This window comes from Homo sapiens, chromosome 15, assembly GCF_000001405.40.
Source record: "Homo sapiens chromosome 15, GRCh38.p14 Primary Assembly".
Lineage (NCBI taxonomy): Eukaryota > Metazoa > Chordata > Mammalia > Primates > Hominidae > Homo > Homo sapiens.
Window position 1 is genome coordinate 86,556,005 of NC_000015.10, and position 15,198 is coordinate 86,571,202.

At 41.1% G+C, this 15,198-nt stretch overlaps 1 protein-coding gene across 5 annotated transcripts in view; it reads left to right on the top strand.

Moving 5' to 3' along the window:
* The window catches only part of AGBL1 (AGBL carboxypeptidase 1), a 951,857-nt gene that overhangs the window by 476,385 nt on the left and 460,274 nt on the right, over positions 1-15,198 (top strand). The window contains exon 22 of one of the 5 annotated variants that reach the window (NM_152336.4): positions 219-281. The exons of the other annotated variants lie outside the window; for them this stretch is intronic. Within the exon in view, the coding sequence (NP_689549.3) occupies positions 219-281 (63 nt within the window). The remainder of the gene's footprint in view (positions 1-218; positions 282-15,198) is intronic. 5 annotated transcript variants of the gene reach the window in all.

The following is a 15,198-nucleotide window of genomic DNA, read 5'->3' on the forward strand; positions in this document are numbered from 1 at the left end:
TGTTTAAAAGACAACTCCATGTAACTCTTCAAAGATTTATTAGCTTGTGACTGTCATTGAGTTTGTTTCTCCAAGCACCAATTCAAACAAACAGCTTCTAGTCACGTAAGTATCAGTGCCATTCACAATAAATCAGCTGGAAACTCAAAGTTCTCTGGAGCTGTTTGAAAATGAAATGACTCATAGGTTCAGGCCCTCACCAACTCTCTACTGTGCAGTGTACACAGAGGCTGTTGGAGAGGACAAAGAATGAAAGGGCTCACCCAGTGGATGGCCTTCAGGTATTGGAGCAGCATTTATCTTGTGAAATTTTCCAAATGGCTTTTGCATTGGGTCACTAGAAGGAATAATGGAGGGAGAACTGGCTAGAGAAAGCCCTAACAGTGCCAGACCTGGTTTTGGTTTAAGAATCCCATTCTCTATATGAAAAACACTTCTCCGAATGTATTAGTTTCCTCCTTCTCTTTGTTTTCCTGTCCTTACAAACATTGTTGAGTAACTGAGCAGAATCACAGGCAGTGATACTCACAGAGGATGGTGAGTAATTTTACATATGGGGGGGCCCACCCCATGGGAAGGAAGCCAGCCTGGAGTTGGGTGTTTTGGTGATTTTTGCGTAAGGTACATAATGCAGTCTATGAGCTACAAAGCAGTATAGAAATTTCCATCCTGAACATATTGCAAATGCTTTTTGTACATTGGGAAGCTGAGTCCCAGTTGAGTCTTGAGATTATTATTCTAAGGTCATCTTTCCATTTTTTGTTTAGCATTACCATTTATCCAAAAGATGGAGGATACTTAAATACACCCGTGAGAGGCATTCTTTCCTTCCTTCATAAGAATGTAAATATTTTTGCAGTTTCTCTGGTTAATGCAGCTTTAAAGTAGTTCCAATCATTTCTCCCCCAGCACACTAAGTACCTGATTTGTAAGTATTGAAATGAAATATCATTCTTTACAGTGACATTTATATTGGAACTGCATTAAAGAACATAAGCTATTACCTTAAAATAATGATTATTAATACGATATTTCCTCTTCTATTTTCCAGTCTATAGTTGGCTAATTAGAAAAAGAATTATCCTGCTCTTGTTTCTTTGGGATACAGTCTCTGTTGCTAGGTCATACACTTAGATCTATAACTTGTATTTAATGTGGAAATCCCACCCACTGAGAGATTTACTTTACCTATTAGGGATGGGCCCAAAGCTATTGAGGCTGTTGAGGAAAAAGCCAAAATGAAATGATGCATCCTTTGGGGGCTCATTTTTTTAGAGGCATCCCGTCCATGTGGACAGCTGTGGGCTTCACACTGAGTGTTTGTGACCTGAGGTCACACACGTGGTGTGTTTGCATACACAAAGGCATGTGGCTGGGCCCCAGGGGTTGCTGGTAGCTTAGGAGGAGGATGTGAGTCCCTTTACCCAAGCAGGCTGTCAGCTTGCTCCTTGCAACACTGCTAACTTGGACAGCAAAGTGGATCTTAAAGAAGGACAGAAGATGGTAACTCAGCTGAGGTTTGAAGAGTGACTCAACTTGTGTTTAAATTCTCTACCTGCGAGCTGCATCCTTGTATTGTGGGACCTTCCTGCAGTGCATCCTTTCTACCACCCACAAGGGCTCCTTTAATAACACAAATCTATTCAAGTCACAGTAATGCCCATAAGTGTCTTCATTGTGTCTCGATAAAATCCACCTCATCATCGTGGTGAGTAAGGCCTTTTACAATCTCTTCTTTCTTTTTTTTATACTCAATGCTTAGTATAGTATAAAGTAGGTATTAAAAATGTATGATGGCTGACAAGTGAGTAAGTAAGTGAACAAGTAAATAAATGGCAATTTCCAAGCCCTCAAATGATGATCCTCACTGTCCTTGGGTAAGTAGAAAAAGAGAAGAAATTATTGTGGTCCAAATGTGATCAGATGCCATTCTGAAATGGAGATATTAAGAGTCGTTGCAATGGGTAGAGCTGGAAAATGTGTGGGTGAAAGAAGGAAAGACACAAGAATGCAGGGCTGAGATCTCTTAGACCTGCCACTAGATATGGTTTGAGAGACAATAATCCACCCAATGGATTATTTCCCAGAGTAAGGCAATTCTAGTTCAGGTATGGAATCTCTTATGGACACATTCTAATAACAGATGATAATTAGGCAGAAAGACTTCCATCCATATACGTAGTAGATGCTGCGGTCCACCCTCGAGATCCCTCCTTAGGACCCAGGCACTCAATTTCCCCTGGTTGTTCACAGCTGTGTCTATAACCAGGAATTGCTTGTAACTAAAGGACCCCATCTTGCCCCAAAGCTATGGCTCCTCCCTACCTGCAGCCTACATCCAATAGCTGATCTGTGGGAAAACAAAAGCCTTATCTCTGCTTCAGTTGGGATGACTCCAAAGGGCCATTCCAGCTCTAGATATCCCTATAGGATTAGCTGGCACCTCTGTTGTAATTCCCTTGTGGTTCAACCTCCCCCTCTGCCCAACTTTGTTTCCCTAGTAACTCACAGGTATTGTTACAGCAAGCACTCCCCAGAAGTCCTTCTGTATGCAAATCTCAGCATCTCAGAGGCTGTTTCCTGCTGTAAACAACTTATAACAGTATTTCAAAAAGGCTTAGATTATAAAACATGCATGCTGGAACTAAGCACTTAAATTGTTGGAGATGGTTTAGTGGGGATGAGTTTCATATAGGAAATTCAATCATCGGAACTCCGTGTTCAGGGCTCCCAGTGGCCCTTTATTCACTCCACTTGCCTTAGCTGTTTAGGGAACAAAGCCCTCTACTACAAAACTAGAGACCGCAGATCAGAGCAGGGTTTCTTGCAGTAGCCCAGACTGTAGGCTGACTGTATTTATTTTCTGTGGCTGCTGTAACAGAATACCACAACTTGGATGGCTTAAAACAACATAAATCTGTTCTCTCACAGATCTGGAAGATAAAAGCCTGAAATCAAGGTGTTGGCAGTGTTATGTTCTCTCTAAAGGCAACTGTTTCGTGCCTTTCTTTGAGCTTCTTGTATTGCCAGAAATCCTTGGTGTTTTTTGGTTTGTCAACGCATCACTACAATTTCTTCCTTTCTTGTCACATGGCCTTCTCTACCTGTGAACCTCTATCTCTGTGTCTCCCCTCTTCTTCTTATAAGGACACCAGACATACTGGAATAAGAGCCCACCTTACTCCAGGATGACCTCATCTTAACTTAATTAATTATATCTGTAGTGAACCTATTTCCAAATAAGCTCATATTCTGACATTCTGATAAGGAGATAAATTTGGGCATTGGGCAAGATACTATTCAAGCTAATAAACTGGGTCACACAAGAAAACACAAAATTATCTCCAAGAATTAGGGAAGGTTTTTATTTCTGTCTCCATATTGCCATGTGGTAAAGCCCTAAATATGTTATAACAGTTCTTATTTTCTCTCCACCTCATGATGAGGAAAATGAAAAGTTTCAGATTTTCTTGGAACATCTTGGAAGACAAATTTGAGACTCATGGCATGTATGAGTGCTGATTAAGGCTGCTCCAGTATTATAATACACAATGTTAAGGTAGCAATAATGATAACAAACACATCTATCATACTTATTGTGTGCTAAGCCCTTTACATATCTTAAATTACTTCATGTCTGCTATTGTACAACAAAGCACTACAAAATCAGTTTCATTATTATTCTCATTATTCCTATTTTACAAATGAGACCACTGAGACAGAGAAGTTAAGTAACTTGCTCAAGGTCCCACAGCTAGAAGTTTTCTGAGCCAGGATTTGAAGCCAGACAGATATGTTGCTGGGATCTTTGCTTTTACCTCGTGCTTTCTGTCTAGTAGAATGTGGTTGGTAAAAGGGGACCTGGGCTTTGGAAGCAGGAGACCCACCTTCTGCACTTGGCTGTAATTAAGCAGATCTGCAGCAACAGGTGAGCCACTTAACCTCTCTGGGTCACAATTTTCTTATTTATAATAGGAAGACAGAATTGGAACTAAAAGATAGGTGTGGTTTCTGCTACATTATGTTGACCAAGTTTTTTGCTGGGTATCCAAGGGACTTATGGATCACCCAGACCAGGGTGACCCAGTGTAATGTGAAGCCCTTAAAAATTTTATGCAATTTTTCTTTTTTTTCTTGTACTTTTTTTTTTATATACTTTAAGTTCTAGGGTACATGTGCACAACAGGCAGGTTTGTTACATATGTATACATGTGCCATGTTGGTGTGCTACACCCATTAACTCGTCATTTACAATAGGGATATCTCCTAATGCTATCCCTCCCCCCTCCCCACCCCCGCAACAGTCCCCGGTGTGTGATGTTCCCCTTCCTGTGTCCAAGTGTTCTCATTGTTCAATTCCCATCTATGAGTGAGAACTTGTGGTGTTTGGTTTTTTGTCCCTGCAACAGTTGGCTGAGAATGATGGTTTCCAGCTTCATCCATGTCCCTACAAAGGACATGAACTCATCCTTTTTTATAGCTGCATAGTATTCCTTGGTGTATATGTGCCACATTTTCTTAATCCAGTCTATCATTGATGGACATTTGGGTTGGTTCTAACTCTTTGCTATTGTGAATAGTGCCACAATAAACACACATGTGCATCTGTCTTTATAGCAGCAGGATTTATAATCCTTTGGTTATATACCCAGTAATGGGATGGCTGAGTCAAATGGCATTTCTAGTTCTAGATCCTTGAGGAATCGCCACACTGTCTTCCACAATGGTTGAACCAGTTTACAGTCCCACCAACAGTGTAAAACAGTTCCTATTTCTCCACATCCTCTCCAGCACCTGTTGTTTCCTGACTTTTTAATGATCGCCATTCTAACTGGTGTGAGATGGTATGTCATTGTGGTTTTGATTTGCATTTCTCTGATGGCCAGTGATGATGAGCATTTTTTCATGTGTCTGTTGGCGGCATAAATGTCTTCTTTTGAGAAGTGTCTGTTCATATCATTTGCCCACTTTTTGATGTGGTTGTTTTTTTCTTGTAAATTTGTTTGAGTTCTTTGTAGATTCTGAATATTAGCCCTTTGTCAGATGAGTAGATTGCAAACATTTTTTCCCATTCTGTAGGTTGCCTGTTCACTCTGATGGTAGTTTCTTTTGCTGTGCAGAAGCTCTTTAGTTTAATTAGATCCCATTTGTCAATTTTGGCTTTTGTTGCCATTGCTTTTGGTGTTTTAGACAGGAAGTCCTTGCCCACGCCTATGTCCTGAATGGTATTGCCTAGGTCCTGAATGGTATCACCTAGGTTTTCTTCTAGGGTTTTTATGGCTTTAGGTCTAACATTTAAGTCTTTAATCCATCTTGAATGAATTTTTATATAAGGTGTAAGGAAGGGATCCAGTTTCAGCTTTCTACGTCTGGCTAGCCAGTTTTCCCAGCACCATTTATTAAATAGGGAATCTTTTCCCCATTGCTTTTGTTGGGTTTGTCAAAGATCAGATGGTTGTAGATGAGTGGTGTTATTTCGGAGGCCTCTGTGCTGTTCCATTGGTCTATATATCTTTTTTGGTACCAGTACCATGCTGTTTTTGTTACTGTAGCCTTGTAGTATAGTTTGAAGTCAGGTAGTGTGATGCCTCCAGCTTCGTTCTTTTGGCTTAGGATTGTCTTGGCAATGCGGGCTCTTTTTTGGTGCTATATGAACTTTAAAGTAGTGTTTTCCAATTCTGTGAAGAAAGTCATTGGTAGCTTGATGGGGATGACATTGAATCTATAAGTTACCTTGGGCAATATGGCCATTTTCATGACATTGATTCTTCCTATCCATGAGCATGGAATGTTCTTCCATTTGTTTGTATCCTCTTTTATTTCATTGAGCAGTGGTTTGTAGTTCTCCTTGAAGAGGTCCTTCACATCCCTTGTAAATTGGATTCCTAGGTATTTTATTCTCTTTGAAGCAATTGTGAATGGGAGTTCACTCATGATTTGGCTCTCTGTTTGTCTGTTATTGGTGTATAAGAATGCTTGTGATTTTTGCACATTGATTTTGTATCCTGAGACTTTGCTGAAGTTGCTTATCAGGTTAAGGAGATTTTGGGCTGAAACGATGGGGTTTTCTAAATATACAATTATGTCATCTGCAAACAGGGACAATTTGACTTCCTTTTTTCCTAATGGAATACCCTTTATTTCTTTCTCCTGCCTGATTGCCCTGGTCAGAACTTCCAACACTATGTTGAATAGGAGGCATCCCTGTCTTGTGCCAGTTTTCAAAGGGAATGCTTCCAGTTTTCACCCATTCAGTATGATATTGGCTGTGGGTTTGTCATAAATAGCTCTTATTATTTTGAGATATGTCCCATCAATACCTAATTTCTTGAGAGTTTTTAGCATGAAGGGCTGTTGAATTTTGCCAAAGGCCTTTTCTGCATCTATTGAGATAATCCTGTGGTTTTTGTCTTTGCTTCTGTTTATATGCTGGATTATGTTTATTGATTTGCATATGTTGGACCAGCCATGCATCCCAGGGATGAAGCCCACTTGATCATGGTGGATAAGCTTTTTGATGTGCTGCTGGATTTGCTTTGCCAGTATTTTATTGAGGATTTTTGCATCAATGTTCATCAGGGATATTGGTCTAAAATTCTCTTTTTTTGTTGTGTCTGTGCCAGGCTTTGGTAGCAGGATGATGCTGGCCTCATAAAATGAGTTAGGGAGGATTCCCTCTTTTTCTATTGATTGGAATAGTTTCAGAAGGAATGGTACCAGCTCCTCCTTGTACCTCTGGTAGAATTTGGCTGTGAATCCGTCTGGTCCTGGACTTTTTTTGGTGGATAGGCTATTAATTATTGCCTCAATTTCAGAGCCTGTTATTGGTCTATTCAGGGAATCAACTTCTTCCTGGTTTAGTCTTGGGAGGGTGCATGTGTCCAGGAGTTTATCCATGTCTTCTAGATTTTCTAGTTTATTTGTGTAGAGTTGTTTGTAGTATTCTCTGATGGTAGTTTGTATTTCTGTGGGATCGGTGGTGATATCCCCTTTATCATTTTTTATTGCGTTTATTTGATTCTTCTCTCTTTTTTTCTTTATTAGTCTTGCTAGCAGTCTATCAATTTTGTTGATCTTTTCCAAAAACCAGCTCCTGGATTCACTGATTTTTTGAAGGGTTTTTTGTGTCTCTATCTCCTTCAGTTCTACTCTGATCTTAGTTATTTCTTGCCTTCTGCTAGCTTTTGAATGTGTTTGCTCTTGCTTCTCTAGTTCTTTCAATTGTGATGTTAGGGTGTCAGTTTTAGATCTTTCCTGCTTTCTCTTGTGGGCATTGAGTGCTATAAATTTCCCTCTACACACTGCTTTAAATGTGTCCCAGAGATTCTGGTATGTTGTGTGTTTGTTCTCATTGGTTTCAAAGAACATCTTTATTTCTGCCTTCATTTCGTTATGTACCCAGTAGTCATTCAGGAGCAGCTTGTTCAGTTTCCATGTAGTTGAGCGGTTTTGAGTGAGTTTTTAATCCTGAGTTCTTGTTTGATTGCACTGTGGTCTGAGAGACAGTTTGTTATAATTTCTGTTCTTTTACATTTGCTGAGAAGTGCTTTACTTCCAACTATGGACTAAGTACGATGTGGTGCTGAGAAGAATGTATATTCTGTTGATTTGGGGTGGATGGTTATGTGGATGTCTGTTAGGTCCATTTGGTGCAGAACTGAGTTCAATTCCTGGATATCCTTTTTAACTTTCTGTCTTGTTGGTCTGTCTAATGTTGACAGTGGGGTGTTAAAGTCTCCCATAATTATTATGTGGGAGTCTAAGTCTCTTTGTAGGTCTCTAAGGACTTGCTTTATGAATCTGGGTGCTCCTGTATTGGGTGCATATATATTTAGGATAGTTAGCTCTTCTTGTTGAATTGATCCCTTTACCATTATGTAATAGCCTTCTTTGTCTCTTTTGATCTTTGTTGGTTTAAAGTCTGTTTTATCAGAGACTAGGGTTGCAACCCCTGCCTTTTTTGTTTTCCATTTGCTTGGTAGATCTTCCTCCATCCCTTTATTTTGAGCCTATTTGTGTTTCTGAACGTGAGATGGGTCTCCTGAATACAGCACACGGATGGGTCTTGACTCTTTATCCAATTTGCCAGTCTGTGTCTTTTAATTGGAGAATTTAGCCCATTTATATTTAAGGTTAATATTGTTAGGTGTGAATTTGATCCTGTCATTATAATGTTAACTGGTTATTTTGCTCATTAGATGATGCAGTTTCTTCCTAGCATCGATGGTCTTTACAATTTGGCACGTTTTTGCAGTGGCTGGTACTGGTTGTTCCTTTCCATGTTTAGTGCTTCCTTCAGGAGCTCTTGTAGGGCAGGCCTGGAGGTGACACAATCTCTCAGCATTTGCTTGTCTGTAAAGGATTTTATTTCTCCTTCATTTATGAAGCTTAGTTTGGCTGGATATGAAATTCTGGGTTGAAAATTCTTTTCTTTAAGAATGTTGAATGTTGGCCCCCACTCTCTTCTGGCTTGTAGAGTTTCTGCCGAGAGATCTGCTGTTAGTCTGATGGGCTTCCCTTTGTGGGTAACCCGACCTTTCTCTCTGGCTGCCCTTAACATTTTTTCCTTCATTTCAACTTTGGTGAATCTGACAATTATGTGTCTTCGAGTTGCTCTTCTCAAGGAATATCTTTGTGGCGTTCTCTGTATTTCATGAATTTGAATGTTGGCCTGCCTTGCTAGGTTGGGGAAGTTCTCCTGGATAATATCTTGCAGAGTGTTTTCCAACTTGGTTCCATTCACCCCATCACTTTCAGGTACACCAATCAGATGTAGATTTGGTCTTTTCACATAGTCCCATATTTCTTGGAGGCTTTGTTTGTTTGTTTTCACTCTTTTTTCTCTAAACTTCTCTTCTCCCTTCATTTCATTCATTTGATCTTCAGTCACTGATACCTTTTCTTCCAGTTGATCGAATTGCCTACTGGAGCTTGTGCATCTGTCACATAGATCTCGTGCCATGGTTTTCAGCTCCATCAGGTCCTTTAAGGACTTCTCTACACTAGTTATTCTAGTTAGCCATTTGTTTAATCTGTTTTCGAGGTTTTTAGCTTCTTTGCGATGGGTTTGAATTTCCTCCTTTAGCTCGGAGAAGTTTGATCGTCTGAAGCCTTCTTCTCTCAAATCGTCAAAGTCATTCTCTGTCCAGCTTTGTTCCATTGCTGGCGAGGAGCTGCGTTCCTTTGGAGGGGGAGAGGCACTCTGATTTTTAGAATTTTCAGCTTTCCTGCTCTGTTTTTTCCCCATCTTTGTGGTTTTAACTACCTTTGGTCTTTGATGATGGTGACGTACAGATGGGGTTTTGGTGTGGATATCCTTTCTGTTTGTTAGTTTTCCTTCTAACAGTCAGGACCCTCAGCTGCAGGTCTGTTGCGGTTTGCTGGACGTCCACTCCAGACCCTGTTTGCCTGGGTATCAGCAGCAGGGGCTGCAGAGCAGCGAATATTGCTGAACAGCAAATGTTGCTGCCTGATCGTTCCTCTGGAAGCTTTGTCTCAGAGGGGTACCCAGCCATGTGACGTGTCAGTCTGCCCCTACTGGGGGGTGCCTCCCAGTTAGGCTACTCAGGGGTCAAGGACCCACTTGAGGAGGAAGTCTGTCCGTTCTCTGATCTCAAACTCCATGCTAGGAGAACCACTACTGTCTTCAATGCTGTCAGACAGGGACATTTAATTCTGCAGAGATTTCTGCTGCCTTTTGTTTGGCTATGCCCTGCCTCCAGAGGTGGAGTCTACAGAGGCAGGCAGGCCTCCTTGAGCTGCCTTGGGCTCCACCCAGTTTGAGCTTCCTGGCAGCTTTGTTTACCTACTCAAGCCTCAGCAATGGTGGGTGCCCCTCCCCCAGCCTCGCTGCTGCCTTGCAGTTCGATCTCAGACTGCTGTGCTAGCAATGAGCGAGGCTCCATGGGCGTGGGACCCTCTGAGCCAGGCGCGGGATATAATCTCCTAGCGTGCCATTTGCTAAGACATTGGAAAAGCGCAGTATTAGTGTGGGAGTGACCCAATTTTCCAGGTGCCATCTGTCACAGCTTCCCTTGCCTAGGAAAGGAAATTCCCTGAGCCCTTGCACTTCCCAGGTGAGGTGATGCCTCGCCCTGCTTTGGCTCACCTCGTTGGGCTGCACTCACTGTCCTGCACCCACTGTCCTACAAGCCCCAGTGAGATGAACCCGGTACCTCAGTTGGAAATGCATACATCACCCGTCTTCTGCATCAGTCACACTGGGAGCTGTAGACTGGAGCTGTTCCTGTTTGGCCATCTTGGAACCCTAATTTTTCTTGAGTATGCACATTTTTCTAGGGAGAAAGTGCTCTGCTTTTAGAACCAATTAGGTAGTTTTCAAGTGACTTTGGCTGTTCTATCCACTATTTCCCCCTCTCCTTTTCATTTTATTCTTGCTGGTCTTTATTTCACCTTTCTAGAGTATACAAAGAGGGCTGAGAGGAATGTAATACATTAAGTGGCAGCTCTCCATCAGCAGGGTGAATAAGGAGCAGAGTAGATCTTCAGTGAAACAGCCAATTTTTTTTATAGCAGGGAACCTCCTAGGTTGCTTCCTTTTCTCATTTCACTTCCTCTTGACTTCTCTCCTTGTCTCATCAGAGAACCATGGCTCTCACACAGTTCTTTGGACTTGCGCAGCCCAGATGGGACACTTCTCCTCCCTAAAAGTGTCCTGAGCTGCAGAATTGCCTCTGTATCAGGATACAGACACACACACACACAGATTCTTTCTCTCCAACACACAAGTATATGTATATATCACACATATATACACAAACATGTATCCATATCAATGGTTTTTAATAATAGATGTATACAGGAAAGCAGAGTTTATTGTTTAATATGGGCTCCTGTGTCAGATGTAGAGTTCCAGGGAGAGCTCTACATTTCACAGTTGTGACCTTGAGACAGTTCCTGACTTTTATGAGCTTTAGTGGTAGACATGGTGCTCCTCATAGTTCCTACTTCATGGAGATGCTATAAAGACTGAATGAGCTACTGCCTACAAAACATTTATCACCATTTTCATAGTAAAAACTCAATACATGTTTACTGTTTGTATTTTTATTGATTAACAGGATCATTAATGGTGGTTTTCTTTTTCTATTTTAGATAAAGACACTTAGGCTCCAACTCTTAACCATAATCATTTTATTCCAACCTTCCTAATTAGAAACTTTGGGGTCTAAGATTAAGACTCTAAGCTTTTATGAAGTGTAATATACAGCCAGGGTTGAGAACCACAGATTTTGGCTTTCATAGACACTAATATCCATATACCTGTATTTATAGGCTTAGCTACATCAAAGTAATGTCTATATGTATCATTTAGACATTTCTTTTATTATCCACTCATTTATTCTATCTGTCAAAATTCCTGTGCTGCCTAATCTATGTTTTAGTTAATTTGTATGTGAAGTCCCAGAGAAGGGAAGGGGAAGAAGACAATTTGTGAGCCTTCTTCTAGGAGAAGAGAAAGAAAGGCATGAAGAGTTGAGGCAGGGAAGGAAACAGATTTAAATTTCTCCAAGATTGCTGAATTTAAAAGGCTATTCTAATTATGAGCACAACTCAAAAATATTTTAGATCACTATTCTCAGAATCATTTTTACAGATAACCTTTAGAGGAATATAATTTTGATCTTTTTTTTGATCTTTGAATGGGGGAGGAGGTGTCTTTCTTTCATTAATGTAATCTGAGGAGAGATTGAGGACCACCTCAAACCTTAGTGTGCATGAGAATCACTTGTGGAGTTTAGAAATTGCAAATGTTTAAATTGCAAGAAAGTCTGAACTCTGTGTCCAGAGGTATCTTGATCTGGGGCATGGTCCAGGAATCTACCTTTTTTTCAAGTGTCCCCGGACATTCAGAGCCCAGCTGCCCAGAGACCAGTTACTGAGAGACTGAGGCAGGATAGTCAGACCAGATGTAAAAGGTGAGATGGTTTTGAGACAAGTTTTTGTTTTTCTTCTCTTGCTTCTGATCTTCTTTGGGATAGAAAATTCCCCATGGCTTTTGTCATGAAGTCTCAAATTCTCCTTATGCTCCCACTTTTACTTTTTTTTTCTTCATCCATGCTTTTAGGTAATTAGCTTAATTCTACTACAAGAAACTGTCTAATATCCCATTGAGAGTTTAAAGATGTCTTTGTTTCTTTGTTTTCTCTAGCTCCTGGGACACTCCCAGGTCAGGGTATTTTAAATCAGTATCTTTGAACAGTCTTCGTATGTGGACTTTCAAGAGTTTAAGAACAGATATATATAAAATTATTTGTTGGCTCTGTGTAAGTTTTCTGGGGAGAATACCTGTATTTCTAAAGGTATTCTTAAAAGGATGAGCAATGCCCCCAAGAAGATTAAGAGATCATGCCTTAACTTATTGATTCCAGGATCTCTAGAGGGCCCTTCACAGTCTCCTAGTTTTTGCTCTTAAATCAGCTCAGAAGTGCTTGGCTTGACTTTGTGAAAATCAAATGGAGGCTGTAAATCCCTGACTATTTCTGCCTACTTATCAATTAGCACAAGAAGAATGAAGCATCTCATTAAATGTGTATTGGATTAAGCAGTCTAAATCTTCTGTGACTGCATGGGATGCTAATCTTCTTAGGATGCTCTGTCTCACAAGTGGTGGTATAGACCCTGGAGCAGAGCATCAGCAGCATCTGGGATTTGTTAGAAATGCAGACTCCCAGGCCCCACCTACTGAATCTGCATTTTAACCAGATCTCCAGGTGATCCATTTTTCCCATAAATTTGAGAAACATGGATTTTGAACACCCTTGGTCAAAGAGGTGAGGTAGATTGGAAAGAGTGAAGGGTCAAGCATAGGAAGTTGGGGAGCTCCAACTTTTCTGTTAAGGCAAGGACATTGTTCCCAGAAATTTTTTTAATGACAATGAGATGCTGTATGTATGATAAATATGATTTAAAAGTTGAAAATAAATAATTCCTAGTATGAGATACTTTGTTGATCTATGCCAACATTTTAATGTTACATAAACTGTTTTTTTTTTTCACTCCCATATTCTCTAATACCTTTCCCTTCTCAAAGTCTTGGAAAAGAGGACAATTTTCCAAATGCCTGTTTTGCCATTGGAATGCCATTTTATTTCTTTGAAAATACAAATATGAAATCCAGATGCTGCTGGGCGCAATGGCTCATGCCTGTTATCCCAACAATTTGGGAGGCTGAGGTGGGAGAATAGCCTGAGTCCAGAAGTTTGAGACCAGCCTGGGCAATATAGGCAGACCCATCTCTACAAAAAAAATTAAAATCAGCCGACCATGGTGGCACGTGCTTGTGGTTCCAGCTACTTGGTAGGCTGAGGTTACGGTGAACTGAGATCATGTCACTGCACTCCCAGGCAACAGAGCAAGACCTGTCTCAAAGAAAAAGAAAACAAGGAAAAAAAAAAAAAGAGAGAAATCCGGATGCTAATCTATCATTTTAGTAGAAATACTATTTGGGCCATTTATGTTGACACTCTGTCATTCCTTATTAACTGCAATTCAAGTGATGCCTTGCTGTTGTCTCTTTTGTTTTGTTTTTAGAAAAACTTCTTCGGATATGATCTCAAAGCACACTATGAGCAGTTTATTAACTCACTGCAGTCTTAATTATGTAGTAAAATATTGTCCTCATTCTGTTACCCTCAGTTCTATAATGTCTGTCAGCATCATGATAGAATATTAAAAGGAATTAAATAAAAATCAAGAGGCAGAGATGCTAATAAGGTTGCCAGCAGGGATCTTTCCTGGGATTAGAAAAGCCCTGGGAACCATGAAATTTAAACGCCCATCGTAGAAAATTGTTCCTTCTATGAAAAATAAGGAGGAGATCTGGCACTTGGGATAATCCTATGAGCCTCAAAAGACCTATGATCTTTTAAAAATAATTTGACTTCAAATGACAAAGAAGAAGAAAAGATGGTTTATCTCTGTAAATCTTACTCTCCCATGTGACTGTTGTAAATGCATAAGCCAGATACTCTTAAGGAACAGACAAACAAAATCAAAGAAAGCATTGACTTAATCCAGAGTTTTATTTATCTTGTCGTGTAGGGAAAAAGGATTGACTCAACCTGGGATGCTTGGAGTAGCATTTCCATACAAATGTTCTGAGAAGGGCAGAGTCCAGGATATGAAGAGTTGTCATGGGGTATTCTCTCTGCATAAAATGGGGTGCACCCCAAACCATAATATCCCCTTTGACTATTGATACCAGTGGGCTGGGGGAGGTCCCCAAACACTGGTAGGACCTTGAACCCAGCTATTGTCCAGGCTCTTGACACCATCGTGAGAAGGAATTCAAGGATGAGTCAGAAAATAGGGGAAGTACAGAGATTTATTGCAAAGTGAAAGGTACACCCTCAAGAAAGGGGAGGACAGGCACACTCAAGAGAGAGTCATGTGCAAAGACATTTACAGCTGCTACCTTTATGGGTTTTTCTTTAATCAAGGGGTAGAATATTCATAAAGATTCCTGGAAAAAGTGGGAATTTCTCAGAATTATGATGCCACCCATTTTTACACCAAATATGGGTGTTCCCCGAACTGTCATGGTGTCCATGAGTGTTAATATGTTAATGAGCATATAATGACATTCTAGGAGAAACCTAGGTCAAATCCAGCACCATGTTGGATCTAGTCGGTCTTAGCGAGCTTGGTCCACAAACTATTTTTCAGGGTCTTTTTCAGCCCCAGCTTGTGCAGCTATTTCAGGTTTCCTTTTGCTATTCATGTTTTTATGGGATCTTTGGGGTGTCGCTTTTCTGGCTGGAAACCTCTGTGGCTGGAGGCATCTTTGCCCAAGTTTTGCTTGGGCCCTCTGGGCTTGTTCCGCTCACTCGACCTGGCAGGCTGGACTTGGCTCATGCTACTGGCCTGGATCCCATGCCTGCCAAGGGAGAGTCAAGCATGGAGCAGTGAGGGGTGTGTGAGCAGCATGCGGGCTGGCCTGTGAGCAGTTTGTGGTCTGGCCGTTGCACAGTCAGACACGCTGGCTGATGCTATAGGGTGGGCAGCTCCAGGTGCTGGCATGGACACGGGCTCTTGGCCGAGCTGTGGCTGGACCGGCTACACCACAAGCAGCTTCCCTGGCTGGCACTGGGGAATATGGTGGCACCCTGAAGTTTGGAGATGCCAGGAACTGCTGGGGGCCCCAAAGATGGAGTCACATCCCTGGCCCAGGGAGCT